Genomic DNA, 18,031 nt, shown 5'->3' with positions numbered 1-18,031 from the left:
GGCCAGAAGTTAGAGACCAGCCTAGGCAACATAGCAAGACTCCACTTCTATAAATTTTTTTAATTGGCTGTGTTGGTGCATGCCTGTAAACCCAGCTACTTGGAAGGTTAAAATGGGAGGATTGCTTGAGCCCAGGAGTTCAAGGCAGCAGTGAACTACGATTGTGCCACCACACTTCATTCAGCCTGGGTAATGAAGGAAGACCCCATCTCTAAAAAATGAAAAATTAAAAATAAATCAAATTAAAAAAAAAACAGGAGAGGGAGTTCTGTAAGGTTACATTTGGTGAAGTCAATGTGTAAGTGTAAATGATTTAATATCAATTTGTTACTCATTAGGTCAGAGCATCCAGGTCCCCTATGGACAAAGACTTCTATGACTACGGGAAATTTAGTCAAGGTAACAAATGTGAGGCATAAGTATGTGCCCTCTATTCTATATGCAGTTACTCTGCTAGGATTAGGGGATGCAATGTTTAAATTTAGTGAAATCTCAGGTATAACAAAGTTTGAGCTTCAGTATCGATTTAGTTTGTGAAGGTATGACAATTGGTAGATTTCAGCAGATGTTAAAATTGATTCAGAATATATGCTGGAGAGTTACAAATACCAATCAGCACCCTTTTATCTTTGGACTGTATAAATTGTTGTAGAAAATAGTACATTTCCAATTAGGTCAGATGATAGACTTCCGTATTAAATTTTGTTTTTGTGCATATCCAAGTTCCTTCCCTTCCTTCCTTCCTTCCATCTTTCCTTCCTTCCCTCTTTCCTTCCCTCTTTCCTTCCTTCCCTCCTTCCTGCCTTCCTTCCTTCCATCTTTCCATCCTTCCCTCTTTCCTTCCTTCCCTTCTTCCTTCCCTCCTTCCTGCCTTCCCTCCTTCCCTTTCCTTCCTTTTCTTCCTTCCCTCTCTCCTTCCTTCCCTCTCTCCTTCCTTCCTTCCCTCCCTCCCTCCTTCCCTCTCTGCCTTCCTTCCTTCCTGCCCTCCTTCCCTCTCTCCTTCCTTCTTTCATTCCTTCCTTCTCTCTCTCCTTCCTTCCGTCCCTCCCTCCCTCCCTACTTCCTTCCTTCCTTCCGTCCCTACCTCCCTCCCTCCCTACTTCCTTCCTTCCCTCTCTCCTTCCTTCCCTTTCTTCCCTCTCTCCTTCCTTCCTTCTCTCCTTCCTTCCCTCCTTCCTTCCTTCCCTCTCTCCTTCCTTCCCTCCTTTCTTCCCTCTCTCCTTCCTTCCTTCTCTCCTTCCTTCCCTCCTTCCTTCCTTCCTTCCCTCTCCCTCATTTTTTTGCCACTGGATATGGGGAAGGTTGTTCTCTTTCCCACTCATATTTATAATTTCTTTCTTTGAAACAGCCCCAAATCAGTATCTTCAGAGTTGAAGTCCTCCTTATGAGCAGATTGTGTGGTTTAAGAACCCTAGACTTAAGTCAAGTTTGGATTTCTCCCTTCTCTGTGACTCAGGGGTACTGCAGGTGTCTTTTCCTATAACCCTGGGAATTAGATCTTTGTTGCAGCAGAACCATAAGTCACAGAGCGATGCAGCACAACCAGCCCACAATTCAGGGTTCGGTGGACTGAAATCATCTTCTGCTACGGCTCCATCTGGTTTTCCAGGACTTCCCTCCCCCATTTTTATTCCTTTTAGGGTGTTGAAACTTTAGTGGTATATACATTGCCTCATAATCAGTCAAAACTCCCCTTATCCCACATCATGGATTAAAGAGAACATTGCCAGGAGCCCTTCACTCTTCTAGAAGGACTTTATTTGATAGGTCCTTTTTCCATGGTTTAGAATAAAGGAGGTAATAACTAGAAATATCTCCCTCATAATAGGCTCTACAGCAAATTCTACTTTAAAGACTGTTGTTCGTGTCTTTAACTGTGGCTGCCCTTAATGTTTTTGTCATCCACAGACAATTTTTGTCTCATTTTGGTCCTCTTTAAATGATGGTTTTATAATCAGCTATAAAATTTAACAGATGCCCTTAAATGCAGGATTCTGATTAATAACGCTGGATATTGTGACATTAGAATAGAGGGAAAACTTTCAAATAGAAGAGTGAATGGTGTTTGGGCTACTTTGGACTGTATTTTTATAAATATGTTATTAGTATGTGTTCCAAAATTATTGGAAATTTCTATAGAAATGTAATCCCCAGTGTCAGAGATGGGGCCTGCTGGGAGGTGGCTGGTCCATGGGAGCAGTTTCCAGTGGTTCCCAGTGTTGGAGATGGGGCCTGCTGGAAGGTGGCTGGTCCATGGGAGCAGCCTCCAGTGGTTCCCACTGTCGGAGATGTGGCCTGCTGGGAGGTGGCTGGTCCATGGGAGCAGTTTCTAATGGATAAGCATAATCCCCCTAGCGCTGCTCTTGTGATAGAGTTCTCATGAGATCTTGTTGTTTAAAGTGTATAGGACCTTCCCCCTCTCTCTCTTCCTCCTGCTCTTGCTTTCCCTTCCACCATGATTGTTAAGTTTCCTGAGGCCTCCCCAGAAGCCGAGCAGATGTCAGCATCATGCTTGCTGTACAGGCTGTGGAACTGTGAGCCAATTTTCAGTACTCTTGTGTTTTCTTTTTATTTTTTAAATTTTATTTTAAGTTCCAGGATACATGTGCAGGACATGCAGGTTTGTTACATAGGTAAACGTGAACTACGATGATTTGCTGTACCTATCAACCCACTGCCTAGGTGCCTAGGTACTAAGCCTGACATGTGTTAGCTATTTATCCTGATGCTCTCCCTCCCCGTCCCCACTGACAGGCCCCAGTGTGTATTGTTCTTCTCCCTGTGTCCAGGAGTTCTCATTATTCAGCTCCCACTTATGAGTGAGAACATGTGGTGTTTGGTCTTCTGTTCCTGTATTAGTTTGCTGAAGAGGATGGTTTCCAGATTCATGCATGTCCCTGCAAAAGACATGATCTCATTCCTTTTTATGGCTGCATAGTATTCCATGGTGTGTATGCACCACATTTTCTTTATCCAGTCTATCATTGATGGGCATTTGGATTGATTCCATGTTTTTGCTAATGGGAATAGTGCTGCTATAAACATACGCGTGCATGCATCTTTATAATAGAATGATTTATAGTCCTTTGGTTATATACCCAGTAATGGGATCTCTGGGTCAAATGGTATTTCTGGTTCTAGATCCTTGCAGAATCGCCAAACTGTCTTCCACAATGATTGAACTAATTAACATTCCTACCAACAGTGTAAAAGTGTTTATTTCTCCACAGTCTTGCCAGCATCTGTTGTTTCTTGACTTTTTTTTTTTTATTATACTTTAAGTTTTAGGGTACATGTGCACAACGTGCAGGTTTGTTACATATATATACATGTGCCATGCTGGTGTCCTGCACCCTTTAACTCGTCATTTAGCATTAGGTATATCTCCTAATGCAATCCCTCCCCACTCCGCCCACACCACAACAGTCCCCAGTGTGTGATGTTCCCCTTCCTGTGTCCATGTCTTCTCATTGTTCAAATCCCACCTATGAGTGACAACATGCGGTGTTCAGTTATTTGTCCTTGCAATAGTTTACTGAGAATGATGGTTTCCAGTTTCATCCATGTCCCTACAAAGCACATGAACTCTTCATTTTTTATCCTGCATAGTAATCCATGGTGTATATGTGCCACATTTTCTTAACGCAGTCTATCATTGTTGGACATTTGGGTTGGTTCCAAGTCTTTGCTATTGTGAATAGTGCCACAATAAACATACATGTGTCTTTATAGCAGCATGATTTATATTCCTTTGGGTATATACCCAGTAATGGGATGGCTGGGTCAAATGGTATTTCTAGTTCTAGATACCTGAGGAATCGCCACACTGACTTCCACAATGGTTGATCTAGTTTACAGTCCCACCAACAGTGTAAAAGTGTTCCTATTTCTCCACATCCTCTCCAGCACCTGTTGTTTCCTGACATTTAATGATCGCCATTTTAACCGGTGTGAGATGATATCTCATTGTGGTTTTAATTTGCATTTCTCTGATGGCCAGTGATGGTGAGCATTTTTTCATGTGTTTTTTGGCTGCATAAATGTCTTCTTTTGAGAAGTGTCTGTTCATATCCTGTGCCCACTTTTTGATGGGGTTGTTTTTTTCTTGTAAATTTGTTTGAGTTCATTGTAGATTCTGGATATTAGCCCTTTGTCAGATGAGCAGGTTGTGAAAATTTTCTCCCATTCTGCAGGTTGCCTGTTCACTCTGATGGTAGTTTCTTTTGCTGTGCAGAAGCTCTTTAGTTTAATTAGATCCCATTTGTCAATTTTGGTTTTTGTTGCCATTGCTTTTGGTGTTTTAGACATGAAGTCCTTGCCCATGCCTATGAACTGAATGGTATTGCCTAGGTTTTCTTCTAGGGTTTTTATGGTTTTAAGTCTAACATATAAGTCTTTAATCCATCTTGAATTAATTTTTGTACAAGGTGTAAGGAAGGGATCCAGTTTCAGCTTTCTACATATGGCTAGCCAGTTTTCCCAGCACCATTTATTAAATAGGGAATCCTTTCCCCATTGCTTGTTTTTGTCAGATTTGTCAAAGATCAGATAGTTGTAGATATGCAGCATTATTTCTGAGGGCTGTGTTCTGTTCCATTGATCTATATCTCTGTTTTGGTACCAGTACCATGCTGTTTTGGTTACTGTAGCCTTGTAGTATAGTTTGAAGTCAGGTAGCATGATGCCTCCGACTTTGTTCTTTTGGCTTAGGATTGACTTGGCGATGTGGGCTCTTTTTTGGTTCCATATGAACATTAAAGTAGATTTTTCCATTTCTGTGAAGAAAGTCATTGGTATCTTGATGGGGATGGCATTGAATCTATAAATTACCTTGGGCAGAATGGCCACTTTCACGATATTGATTCTTCCTACCCATGAGCATGGAATGTTCTTCCATTTGTTTGTATCCTCTTTTATTTCATTGAGCAATGGTTTGTAGTTCTCTTTGAAGAGGTCCTTCACATCCCTTGTAAGTTGGATTCCTAGGTATTTTATTCTCTTTGAAGCAATTTTGAAAGGGAGTTCCCTCATGATTTGGCTCTCTGTTTGCCTGTTATTGGTGTATAAGAATGCGTGTGATTTTTGTACATTGATTTTGTATCCTGAGACTTTGCTGAAGTTGCTTAGCAGCTTAAGGAGATTTTGGGCTGAGACAGTGGGGTTTTCTAGCTATACAATCATGTCATCTGCAAACAGGGACAATTTGACTTCCTCTTTTCCTAATTGAATACCCTTTATTCCCTTCTCCTACGTGATTGCCCTGGCCAGAACTTCCAACACTATGTTGAATGGGAGTGGTGAGAGAGGGCATCCCTGTCTTGTGCCAGTTTTCAGAGGGAATGCTTCCAGTTTTTTTCCATTCAGTATGATATTGGCTGTGGGTTTGTAATAGATAGCTCTCATTATTATGAGATATGTCCCATCAATACCTAATTTATTGAGAGTTTTTAGCATGAAGTGTTGTTGAATTTTGTCAAAGGCCTTTTCTGCATCTGCTGAGATAATCATGTGGTTTTTGTCTTTGGCTCTGTTTATATGCTGGATTACATTTATTGATTTGCGTATGTTGAACCAGCCTTGCATCTCAGGGATGAAGCCCACTTGATCGTGGTGGATAAACTTTTTGATGTGCTGCTGGATTCGGTTTGCCAGTATTTTATTGAGGATTGTTGCATCAATGTTCATCAAGGATATTGGTCTAAAATTCTCTTTTTTGGTTGTGTCTCTGCCAGGCTTTGGTATCAGGATGATGCTGGCCTCTTAAAATGAGTTAGGGAGAATTCCCTCTTTTTCTATTGATTGGAATAGTTTCAGAAGGAATGGTACCATCTCCTCCTTGTACCTCTGGTAGAATTCAGCTGTGAATCCATCTGGTCCTGGACTTTTTTTGGATGGTAAGCTATTGATTTTTGCCTCAATTTCAGAGCCTGTTATTGGTCTATTCAGAGATTCAAGTTCTTTCTGGTTTAGTCTTGGGAGGATGTATGTGTCAGGGAATTTATCCATTTCTTCTAGATTTTCTAGTTTATTTGCGTAGAAGTTTTTTAGTATTCTCTGATGGTAGTTTGTATTTCTGTGGGATTGGTGGTAATAATCCCTTTATCATTTTTTATTGCACCTATTTGATTCTTCTCTCTTTTCTTCTTTATTAGTCTTGCTAGTGGTCTATCGATTTTGTTGATCTTTTCAAAAAAACAGCTTCTGCATTCATTAATTTTTTGAAGGGTTTTTTGTGTTCTATTTCCTTCAGTTCTTCTCTGATTTTAGTTATTTCTTGCCTTCTGCTAGCTTTTGAATGTGTTTGCTCTTGCTTTTCTAGTTCTTTTAATTGTGATGTTAGGGTGTCAATTTTGGATCTTTCTTGCTTTCTCTTGTGGGCATTTAGTGCTATAAATTTCCTTCTACACACTGCTTTGAATATGTCCCAGAGATTCTGTTATGTTATGTATTTATTTTTTTTTTAGGCAGAGTCTTGCTCTGTCTCCCAGGCTGGAGTACAGTGGCTCAATCTCAGTTCACTGCAACCTCCACCTCCCAGGTTCAAGCGATTCTACTGCCTCAGCCTCCTGATTAGCTGGGATTAAAGGCGCCTGCCACCACACCCAGCTAATTTTTGTATTTTTAGTAGAGATGAGGTTTCACCATGTTGGCCAGGCTTGTCTGAAACTCCTGACCTCAAGTGATCCACCCGCCTCAGCCTCCCAAAGTGCTGGGATTACAGGTGTGAGCCACCGTGCCCTGCCTGTTTCTTGTATTTGATGATGAAAATATGTTATTGACAGGCACCCGGCCTGTTTCTTGTATTTTATTATGAAAATCTGTTACTGACAGTAAGAGGATGGGGGCTCAGGTTAACAACAGGGTGTTAGAAAAGCAGCAGTGAAATTTTGGTTCTCAAAATATTTGATGTCTTATTCCTTTTTTTGAACATGGGTTTTGCTATAAAAGGCCAGCCATTTTGAAACTTGATTTTATTGTCATGTTCTCATTTTGAAATTTATCTTATTGTATGAATTGGCAACCGTATGTGGGAAAATTCAGTTTTGCATATTTTCAGATTATTTTCATTTTTACATCAGAGATTTTGAGCAGATGCTATACAAAAGTATTCATTTATTTATTCAACAAAATTTAGTGCTGCTTATGTTGCAAGCACTTAGGGAACTTCATGCTGTACGTGCCTCAGATACCTTTGTGAATGTAATGACAACATCAAAGGCTTTGCCCTTATGCACCTTATAAACCTTTAATTTCAAGGCAGGTTGATGAGTGAGCATCTGCTATAACATACTTTCTTTTTTCTTTTTTTTTTTTTTTTCAGAGACAAAGGACTTTATTACTCACAGCACAGCACACAGCATGAGCATCTTGTTTGTACTCAGTCCAGATGAATACTACACATGCAGTGGGTTTGTGTCATAATCAAAGAACTTTGTGCTTAGCAAATCTCAGTCTTTTTATTTATTTATTTATTTATTTATTTATTTATTTATTTTGGAGGGGACAGGGTCTTTTTTTTTTATTGATTATTCTTGGGTGTTTCTCATAGAGGGGGATTTGGCAGGGTCATAGGACAATAGCGGAGGGAAGGTCAGCAGATAAACAAGTGAACAAAGAAACAAGGAGCATGCTGCCTTCAAGCATCTGTTTAACAAAGCACATCTTGCACCGCCCTTAATCCATTTAACCCTGAGTGGACACAGCACATGTTTCAGAGAGCACAGGTTTGGGGGTAAGGTCACAGATCAACAGGATCCCAAGGCAGAAGAATTTTTCTTAGTACAGAACAAAATGAAAAGTCTCCCATGTCTACTTCTTTCCACACAGACACGGCAACCATCCGATTTCTCAATCTTTTCCCCACCTTTCCCCCCTTTCTATTCCACAAAACCGCCATTGTCATCATGGCCCGTTCTCAATGAGCTGTTGGGTACACCTCCCAGACTTGGTGGTGGCCAGGCAGAGGGGCTCCTCACTTCCCAGTAGGGGCGGCCGGGCAGAGGCGCCCCTCACCTCCCAGACCGGGCGGCTGGCCGGGCGGGGGGCTGACCCCCCCACCTCCCTCCCGGACAGGGCGGCTGGCCGGGCGGGGGGCTGACCCCTCCACCTCCCTCCCGGACGGGGAGGCTGGCCGGGTGGGGGGCTGACCCCCCACCTCCCTCCTGGACGGGGCGGCTGGCCGGACGGGGGGCTGACCCCCCCACCTCCCTCCCAGGCAGGGCGGCTGGCCGGGCAGAGGGGCTCCTCACTTCCCAGTAGGGGTGGCCAGGGAGAGGCGCCCCTCACCTCCCGGACGAGGCAGCTAGCCGGGCAGGGGGCTGACACCCCCACCTCCCTCCCGGACGGTGCGGCTGGCCGGGTGGGGGGCTGACCCCCCCACCTCCCTCGCGGACAGGGCGGCTGGCCGGGCAGAGGGGCTCCTCACTTCCCACTAGGGGCGGCCGGGCAGAGGCGCCCCTCACCTCCCGGACGGGGCGGCTGGCCGGGCGGGGGGCTGACCCCCCCACCTCCCGGACGGGGTGGCTGGCCGGGCAGAGGGGCTCCTCACTTCCCAGTAGGGGCGGCTGGGCAGAGGCGCCCCTCACCTCCCGGACGGGGCGGCTGGCTGGGCGGGGGGCTGACCCCCCCACCTCCCTCCTGGAGGGGGCGGCTGGCCTGGCGGGGGGTTAACCACCCCACCTCCCTCCCGGATGGGGTGGCTGGCCAGGTGGGGGGCTGATCACCCCACCTCCCTCCCGGACAAGGCGGCTGGCTGGGTGGGGGGCTGACCCCCCCACCTCCCTCCTGGACGGGGCGGCTAGCCGGGCAGAGGGGCTCCTCACTTCCCAGTAGGGGCAGCTGGGCAGAGGCGCCTCTCACCTCCCAGACGGGGCAGCTGGCCAGGTGGGGGACTGACCCCCCCACCTCCCTCCCAGATGGGGCGGCTGGCCTGGCGGGGGCTGACCCCCACCTCCCTCCCGGATGGGGTGGCTGCCGGGCAGAGACGCTCCTCACTTCCCAGATGGGGTGGCTGCCAGGCGGAGGGGCTCCTCACTTCTCAGATGGGGTGGCTGCCGGGCGGAGGGGCTCCTCACTTCTCAGACAGGGCGGTTGCCAGGCGGAGGGTCTCCTCACTTCTCAGACAGGGCAGCTGGGCAGAGACGCTCCTCACCTCCCAGACGGGCTCGCAGCCGGGCAGAGGCGCTCCTCACATCCCAGACGGGGCGGCGGGGCAAAGGCGCTCCCCACATCTCAGATGATGGGCGGCCGGGCAGAGACGCTCCTCACTTCCTAGATGGGATGGCGGCTGGGCAGAGACGCTCCTCACTTTCCAGACTGGGCAGCCAGGCAGAGGGACTCCTCACGTCCCAGGCGATGGGCGGCCAGGCAGAGACGCTCCTCACTTCCCAGACGGGGTGGCGGCCGGGCAGAGGCTGCACTCTCAGCACTTTGGGAGGCCAAGGCAGGTGGCTGGGAGGTGGAGGTTGTAGCGAGCCAAGATCACGCCACTGCACTCCAGCCTGGGCACCATTGAGCACTGAGTGAACCAGACACCGTCTGCAATCCCGGCACCTCCGGAGGCCGAGGCTGGCAGATCACTCGCGGTTAGGAGCTGGAGACCAGCCCGGCCAACACAGCAAAACCCCGTCTCCACCAAAAAAATACGAAGACCAGTCAGGCGTGGTGGCGTGTGCCTGCAATGGCAGGCACTCGGCAGGCTGAGGCAGGAGAATCAGGCAGGGAGGTTGCAGTGAGCCGAGATGGCAGCAGTACAGTCCAGCTTCGGCCTGGCATCAGAGGGAGACCGTGGAAAGAGAGGGAGAGGGAGACCGTGGCGAGAGGGAGAGGGAGAGGGAGAGGGAGGCCATGGCGAGGGGAGAAGGAGAGGGAGAGGGAGAGGGAGAGGGAGCAACATACTTTGTCATTTAATTCACCATTATTTGGGTATACCTTATATTAAAGTGATTATTAAAAACTGGAAAATATTTAACACATCTTCATCTTGCCTCTTTCCTTAACATATGTAGATCAAGGGAGTCACTGAGAATCAATTTTAGAGATAGTTATAAAAATCTTAACTTTGCAACTATAACTTTGTCCTCAATGTAATAACTGGAAAAAATAATTTACGTTTCAAAGGCTTTAATCTTTATATTTTTTTGAAAAGGAGCCTTCACCGAGATTCTTTAAAAATTCTTGCTCTGTCCTACAGTAGAGACTGATAGACTCATGGATATGGTCCTCTAATGGATCTGTACCACCTCAGTTCTCTGATTGTCGCCCTGCTGTGGTGAAAATTAAAGCTTATTTTCATCTCATGTCTAGGATGTAGTATGTTCTTGTTGGGAAAAAATGATGTTTCTTGAGAAATAAGTGCCTTCAGTATCACTGTGTGTCACTTCATAAATATGACTAATATCTACTTTTACCAATTGCTGCAATTTGATCCTTAAACAGCCATCTTTAAATTATACTTTTTCTTTGGTTAAAGTAATTATAATAGACATTAATTATTTTTACATAATTTTCTTATGTCGACAGCCATTCTTAGAACTAAAACTTTCAGATGTTTATATTACAAGTACAATTATTATTTATTATTATTAATGTCAGTAGCCAAATTTAATCAACTCTTCCTTTTACTTCCTTTTTTGAATCAAAATGTTACAATTATACAAGCAAGAGCAACAGCTCTATATCTGGATCACTGCAGTGCCTAGAAGATACAACAGCACAATTTACAAATCCAAATTTCCAGGAAGTCTCTGCACATACCTCTAGTACAAAAGATGTTTCAGAGACTAGAGGGTCAGAAGGCAAAGAGAGGCAATATTCAACTCCCAGTTCAGGTCAAAAGGGAAGAAAGCCTGGTGTTGAAAGAAATCCAAGAATGACTGTGTCTGCAACTCGCTCCTTTCTGTAAAGTATTTATGGTGTTTTACTTAAAATATTTGCTCTTATGATGGTCAATAATATTAATAGTTATGCTTTGTAAAAGAATTTATTCTTTATTTATAATTAATGGATCATTCTAAGTTATTATATGTTTAGTTGCTATAGTAAGATGATGTGAAAGATTCGTTGTCTGTTAAATATTTCTGGGATCTTTGCTTTATTTTTATATTATGATCTGTGCTTCCAAAGTTGAGCTGTAATTTTATTGTTTATACAAACGTAGAATAAAGCTTAAGTTTGGGGAGAAAAATAAAAGCTAGAGTTTTCCTTTCAGCTATAGAACAGTCATTTATTTCTATAAATGTTCTTTATGTAGCTTTCCTAGCTCCACAATATAAAAGATAAATATGGGGATCTACACAGGTCTCAGTAAATAATAGTTCTTGATTAATAATGCATTTATTATAAAGCTTGCAGTTTAAAGTAGAATTTTGCTCAGCCTACATATCTTTTATGGTCAGGCTGCTATAATTATGTAATACCTAGTTAAATTTCAATTTCAGATAAACAAGGAATAATATTTTAGTATAAGCATGTCCCAAATATTGCATAGGATATACTTACACTAAAAAAAGTATTTGTTTATCTGAAATTTCAAATTAACTGGGCATGCTATATTTTCTGTGACAACCTGTTTTATAGAGAACAGAGTAAGTTAGCTAAATTTTAGAATACTTAACCCTAACCTGGTGTTCTAGGTCTTTCCTTTTTCTAATTATTATTTGGAATCAGGGTCGTGCTCCATCACCCAGGCTGGAGTGCAGTGGCATAATCACAGTGCCCTGCAGCCTTGAGCTTCCGGGCTCAAGTGATTCTGGCACCTCTGCCTTTGCCTCCCAAGTAGCTAGTACCACAGGTACGTGGGCCCAGCTAAATTTTTTCTTTTCTCATAGACACAGGGTCTCAGGCTGGCCTGGAACTCCTGGGCTCAAGCAATCCTCCCACCTCTGCCTTCACTTCCCAAATAGCTGAGACCACAGGCACAAGCCACCACCATATCCAGCTTATTTTTTATCGGTTGGTGCAAGGGTAATTGCGGGTTTTGCCATTGAAAGTAATGGCAAAACCCGCAATTACTTTTTGCACCACGCTAATAATTTTTTGTGGAGACAGGGTCTTGCCCTGTTGTCTAGGCTGGTTTCCAACTCCTGGGCTCGAGTGACCCTCCTGCCTTGGCCTCTAAAAGTTCTGGGATTACAGAGGGGAGCCACTGCACCAAGCTACTTTGTATAATTTTTAACATAAACATAAATATTTTGAGAAATAGAAATGTTAAAACCATTGGAGGAAAATATATTGCAAAGTATACAATAGAAAAAAAATCAAACAAAATACAACAAATACAACAAAAAATTATCAAAATTTTCAGAGGAACAAAACAAAATCTAGTTTTACAATCTTCAGAATTCAATCCCATTATATCAAAAAAATACAGAAACATATTCAAAGAAAAAGGCAATCAATAGAGACTGACTTCGAGATGACCCAGATGTTGGAATTAGTGCGGATTTTTAAAGTAGTTATTGTAATTCTTACTAAAATCAAAACCCCAAAAACCCTTAAAATAAATGGATAGGAAATCACAGCAGAGAAGAAGAAACTACAATAATAACAAAGGCTCAAGTGGAAATTCTAGAAGTGAGAAAGTTTTCAAAATTAAAATAATCAGTTGTGTTCAGGAGCAGCTTGGAGGTGGTAAAGAGTCAATGGATCTTAAAATACAATTGAAATGATTCAATCTGAAAAATGTGAGCAGTCATAGGTTGGGGTGAGGGAGCTTTTCCTTTGGTTAGTGCTTTTAGGTAATCTTGGTTTTGATAAGATTACTAGACTGATCCATCGGGGGAATGCTAAGCCACAGTTTATCTTGGTTTCAGTAGTGCTTTAAACCAAAGTCATGATATCCTTGTATACAAGATGGAAGAAGAGTGGACCAAATGACAATATTTAGAGGCAGTCATTCTTAACCTCCGTTGCTCTCCCAGTGGTCTAGCTGGGGTTTGTATAAAGTGGAATGGGAGGAAAAGGGAAGGAGCGCCCACCTACCCTCTCCCCTTGTCCACTTGTCCTCCTTCACTAGTGGATAAATTCCACGGGAACAGGCAAGTTATTTTAAATCTGTACCTTCTGTTGTCAAGATCTGTAATCAGTTCTGCTCGCTGGACTGGGGACAGGAACCAAGGGAACATGAGGGTGAACGGGTTGATATGGAGTCGAGGAACACACTGGGCCTACATGCAGAATGTTTGTGCCAGAAAAGCCAGTCAGCAGGCAGATGGTCTCAGATACCAAGCTAGTGTTGGGAAGCAAGACTCAGTCTCTTGAAGGCGGTGTTCCTCATTCTGTGGTTTGTATCGCTTGCTTCAGAATGACCTGGAGTACTTGTTAAAATGCAAATTTTGAGCCCAATCCTAGACTTCCTAGCCTGTATCTCTACGGATGGGTCTCAGTAGTCGATATTGGAAACGTGCAGGGTCCCTAGGAGATGCTTATGCATATAGATTTGAACTGTTGTGTTTAAGGGTTAGGCAGCTGGCAAAAGCAAGGAATAGACCAAGCCCTTGGGTGGGAAGGCTCCATAACCTTGGCACTGTTAGCATTCTGGGTGGAACAGGATTCTGCCACATGCTTCGCAGCATCCCTAGCCTCTACTCTCTAACACCACATTCCAGTTGGGAAAACCAAAAATGTCCCCTGGGAGGCAAAATAGTCACCAGTTGGGAACTGGAACCACTGCATTGTGGGATCAGAGTGGTTACTTTTTTCCCAATCCAAGGATCAGAACACACGATGAGAGAAAGTCCAGCTATTGGAACTGGGAGTGCCAAGTTGAAGCTAGACCTACAATGAAAGCTCCAAAATCTCCTTTAAAGGGCTGATCCCATGCCTCAGCTACCCAGATTGTACAGATGCCATGTAACTCCAGATTTGGTGACAGAAGGAATTTAAAGGCTAGAACTAGATAGGGTCTTTCAGGTTAGGCCAGCACACAATGTGGACTTTTGACATCATCCAGATGCTTGAACCAACCTCAGTCCTGAGGCAGAATTTCCCGTGGCATCTGATACACAGCCTGGCTTTGGAGCACTCACTGGGATTAGATGCCATGGGAATATTGTGTTTAGGAACTCTGAAAGAGACAGGCTTCAACGAAGCAGACCTAAGCAACACGTAGCGTCTGAACTTCTTTATCAGCTTCCATTCCAGCCCACGAGGACAAAAGCATCACATACATATCCACTGTGGCTAACCTGTCCTCCGTAGGGAGTTTCCCCAGTACTACTCTCCCCTCTGTTCTGAGCCTACTTGCTCCTTTGTAATGTTTCCACTTTCTGTCCCACTCCCTAATAGATGATTTGTCCTCTCTGCCCAGACCCCTAGTTCTGATATTTGGATTGTCTGTGATCTGGGTAGTACTTAGGAGGCAGAATCAAAGCCTTGTTGATTGGATTTGGAGTTTCCAACTTCCTATTAAAGGCACTGATTAAGCATCTATTGTATAAAGTAAAGTAAGATTATGATCCAGTAAGAAAGATTCCACAAGTAGCGCAGGAAGAATTGGTTTCTAGTACACTTCATGCTTCAGGACAGGAAATCCAGAAAAAAATTCTGTGATACGTTAAGTGTGTACTGTAAGTTTCATTTCCATGTGAAAAACTGTAGTTAGCCAAGGAAGTACATCCATGAAGAATCCTGATTAAACTTGTTTAATCCTGGTTAAACTAGCTACTAGCTAAACAATAATTTCACAACAACTCAAGAACTCTGTAAAAGCATTTCCTCTGAATATTTTATTCAGAAAAAAAAAACACAAAAAGATAAGGCAGAAACAAAAATTCCAGTCATTTGCAGTATCTGTCGGCTTTCAATTTGGTTCTCTTGTTTAAACAAAGAAAAATAGTAAAATTAATCTATGTAAAACATGCCATATATATTCAACTGCTACTAAATATAAAAAGCTTTAAAACTGTGTGTTCAATTGTGGTTATTGTATTACCACAACACATATTAAAATATGTATACTTTTAAATTTGGTTTCTATAAAAAATGGATTCTAATCTTATAAAAGTTATTTCCTAATATTCAATAAATATTGCCTAAGGGCTTTTTCAATCCAAATAGCAATTTTAATTATTCCGGAATTTAAGGGTGCTCTAAATTTCCATTTAATAGGGTGAGAATGCTGTATTATTACAAGTGAAAAAAGTTACAGGACAAAGAGGTTATTCCGTTTCAGAGTCCACATCCTGATTATATTTTATATCCTCTTCTTGATTTCTTACAACTAGATACATATCCATTTGCTCAGCTGGAAAAAATTCTTAACATTATTTACTGACTTTAGGTATGAACTCTACCAGCTAGTTAACAGGAAATATGTAATTAAACATTGCCTTTATCAAGTAATGTAAAAAAAGGGTAAGAGTAACTTTGTAACATAGGACTTAAATGAGCGGCTGGTGATTATCAAAATCTGGCACTTAATTGATTTATACTTTTACACTCACAGCTAAACGTCTCTACCTGTTTTTCTATGTTGTAAATCTAGGACATTACTTATCTACATAGGAAGAGTAATAAATATGAATAATGTGCTATGATAAACATCCTGCACTCTTCCAAATCTTACAATAAAACTGCTTCAATTTCACTTGTTTAGCTTTTATACTTAGTTTTTTAGTTGATCTATGCTTATTTTAAGGAACATGAACTACTCTAACAGAATCCACAGAATTTTTATATTAGTCAAACTGCTTCTTTCTAACTCTGGTTCTAATAGTTATAAAAAGATAATGATAAATTTATGAAGTAGATACAGTCAAACCTGAATTTCTTAAAGTATATACTTATAATCGGTTATAATTTTTAGATATTCTTTCTTGACAGTCTTTTCCCAAACTCATGATGTCCTCTCTAGGTAATATTGCCACACTCATAAATTATAAATAAAGACAAAAATGTGAAAACTACAGTAATTTAAGAGAATATAGGTTTTCTACATGCCATTTCTATTAGCTACTGAAAATAGTGAAAATAAGTAAATAAATAGCTACCTGTCCAGAAGCGTCTCATGCAAAAATCCATCTTTCTGAGCCTTTTTAAGAATTTTACTCTCTTCTTTACTTATTTTAAGTTTGTGGTCTTGGAAGCTCTGAAATTTCTTTCTGCAAAGAAAATGTCTTCATTGAAAAATACCTCAAACTCTGATTACACATATTTACTATTAAATTTATAAATACTGTTAATTTCTTTTTTCACTTATTAAAAAAGTCTAACTGTAGGCCAGGTGCAGTGGCTCATGCCTGCAATCCCAGCACTTTGGGAGGCCAAGGCAGGCAGATCACTCGAGGTCAGGAGTTTGAGAACAGCCTGGCCAACATGGTGAAACCCCGTCTCTACTAAAAATACAAAAATTAGCCGAGCGTAGTGGCGCGTGCCTGTAGTCCCAGCTACTCGGGAGGCTGAGGCAGGAGAATCACATGAACCTGGGAGGCAGAGGTTGCAATGAGCCGAGATAGTGGCACTGCACTCCAGTCTGGGGGACAGAGTGAGACTCTGTCTTGGGGGAGAAAAAAAAAGTCTAATTGTATTTTTTTAATAAGCTGGAGCTTTTGAACAACAAAGATGACCTTCATGACCTCTCAAGAGGAGGGCCACTCATTGACTGGGTAGCAGAAGGCCCCACTTCTATTAGGGCATGCTGGCTGGAGTCCCCTCTGTCCTGACCATAGCACAGCCTTTGACTGGCATCACGCCCATTCTATGAATGAATAGAGAGATTGACTAACCCAAGTGACTAGCTTTGGGAGCTGGTAGGATGATTAGGAAACCTGAAACCTCAAGAAAAGCATTTAGCTCAGTGCTCTGTCCTAGAGGCTACATTGTGTTGCCTCTTCTTGTCTATCAGTTTTCATTTTTTCAGACACGGTCTTGCTCTGTCACCCAGGCTGGAATACAGTGGTGATCAGAGGTCACTGCAGCCTTGAACTCCTGGGCTCAAACAATCCTCCTGTCTCAGCCTCCTGAGTAGCTGGGCCTACAGGCATGCAACACCATCCCCAGCTAATTAGGTAATTTATTTTGAAAGCACTTTGAGAAGCACTTCACTGTCAAATCTGTAGGTCTAAAAGGAAAAGCATACATACACATAATTGATTTCACATTGTTTTACATTTCCTTTGTCTTCTTCTGGAATGTCATCTTTTTTCTTGGTTTCTTTTTCAGCACAGGATCTAATCTAGATATTGGAAAAGAGAATCCAATGGGTTATATGTTTATCTTCCACCTTCCCCACTTTATGTGTCACATAAGAACATTCAAGATGATTTCTTATGCAGAAGAAAAAATTAACTGAGCAACTATAATCAGAAAAAGACAGGTTCTGGCTATGTGTTTTTACTTCATATATATAATCTATATGAGTAAGTGCTGTCACATGCTTCCTCCGCAGCCCTTGTGTCAGAAACACTACAGACAAAATTATTTCAGAAACATTTTACACATCAGATCCTGCTAGGCAATAAAGCAATCATTAGTTAATTTAACTTTGTCCTCCAAGTGAATACACTAGGATCAAATTATCCCTAGTAGACAAGTGTTCATTTGATCAGATTGAAAGCTTAATAGCTATTTTACATTGCACAGACTATTACCAAAGTATTAAAACTTTTAACATTACACAACTTGTTTTTAATTAATTGGAACCCACCTCTTTTACTAGCTTCTTATATCCTCCTAAGTTTGGACAGATGCTTACTATCACATGTCATAAATTAATTGTTCTGCATTCAACGATTAGGATCGCCCACAGAACAGGCAATTGGCAATGGTAAGGACTCATGTCTCCTAAGGGATCTCTGTGGCCAGAGTCCAGTTCCAGGGCTGCTTAGACAGTGATGACAAATAACGCGTTTGTGCCAATGACATCTTTGTGACAGTTTTGATTAGAGGGGTCCCAGACCTGAAAACATTCCCTGCTAGGGCCTGTAGCACAATGCTACCTTTAGTAAGAGGGATGTGTGTTCTGGTAGACAAGGCAAGGTCATAAAGATGAAGGGCTGACAGAGATTAGGAGAGCTTGCAATTAAATGGTACG

General features: G+C 42.5%; 2 pseudogenes across 3 annotated transcripts in view, besides 2 other annotated features; one reads left to right on the top strand and one right to left on the bottom strand.

The window, feature by feature from the left end:
- Positions 1–18,031, bottom strand: part of FRG1BP (FSHD region gene 1 family member B, pseudogene) — a 42,680-nt pseudogene that overhangs the window by 5,809 nt on the left and 18,840 nt on the right. The window contains exons 6-8 of one of the 2 annotated variants that reach the window (NR_003579.2): positions 17,082–17,173; positions 15,990–16,100; positions 14,700–14,813 (exon numbers count right to left, since the gene is read on the bottom strand). The product of NR_003579.2 is annotated as an FSHD region gene 1 family member B, pseudogene, transcript variant 2 (transcript). Of the gene's footprint in view, positions 1–14,699; positions 14,814–15,989; positions 16,101–17,081; positions 17,174–18,031 lie in introns of those variants that run through there. The other variant, NR_145491.1, reaches the window with a different exon arrangement.
- Positions 2,308–2,602: a silencer, noted in NCBI's record as "tiled region #7852; K562 Repressive non-DNase unmatched - State 25:Art". NCBI's record gives its function as "represses a minimal TATA promoter and a strong SV40 promoter by Sharpr-MPRA in K562 cells {active_cell/tissue: K562}" and the evidence as "EXISTENCE:reporter gene assay evidence [ECO:0000049][PMID:27701403]".
- Positions 2,733–3,245: an enhancer, noted in NCBI's record as "OCT4-NANOG hESC enhancer chr20:29645466-29645978 (GRCh37/hg19 assembly coordinates)". NCBI's record gives its function as "activates a minimal SCP1, AML or CMV promoter by ChIP-STARR-seq in naive H9 embryonic stem cells {active_cell/tissue: H9 hESC(naive)}" and the evidence as "EXISTENCE:reporter gene assay evidence [ECO:0000049][PMID:30033119]".
- Positions 10,573–11,127, top strand: MLLT10P1 (MLLT10 pseudogene 1; annotated as a pseudogene). Its single transcript, NR_045115.1, is given in 1 exon segment — positions 10,573–11,127. The product of NR_045115.1 is annotated as an MLLT10 pseudogene 1 (transcript).

This window comes from Homo sapiens, chromosome 20, assembly GCF_000001405.40.
Source record: "Homo sapiens chromosome 20, GRCh38.p14 Primary Assembly".
Classification (NCBI taxonomy): Eukaryota; Metazoa; Chordata; class Mammalia; order Primates; family Hominidae; genus Homo; species Homo sapiens.
The sequence above is the reverse complement of the archived record's forward strand: the minus strand, read 5'-3'. Positions and strand labels throughout refer to the sequence as shown.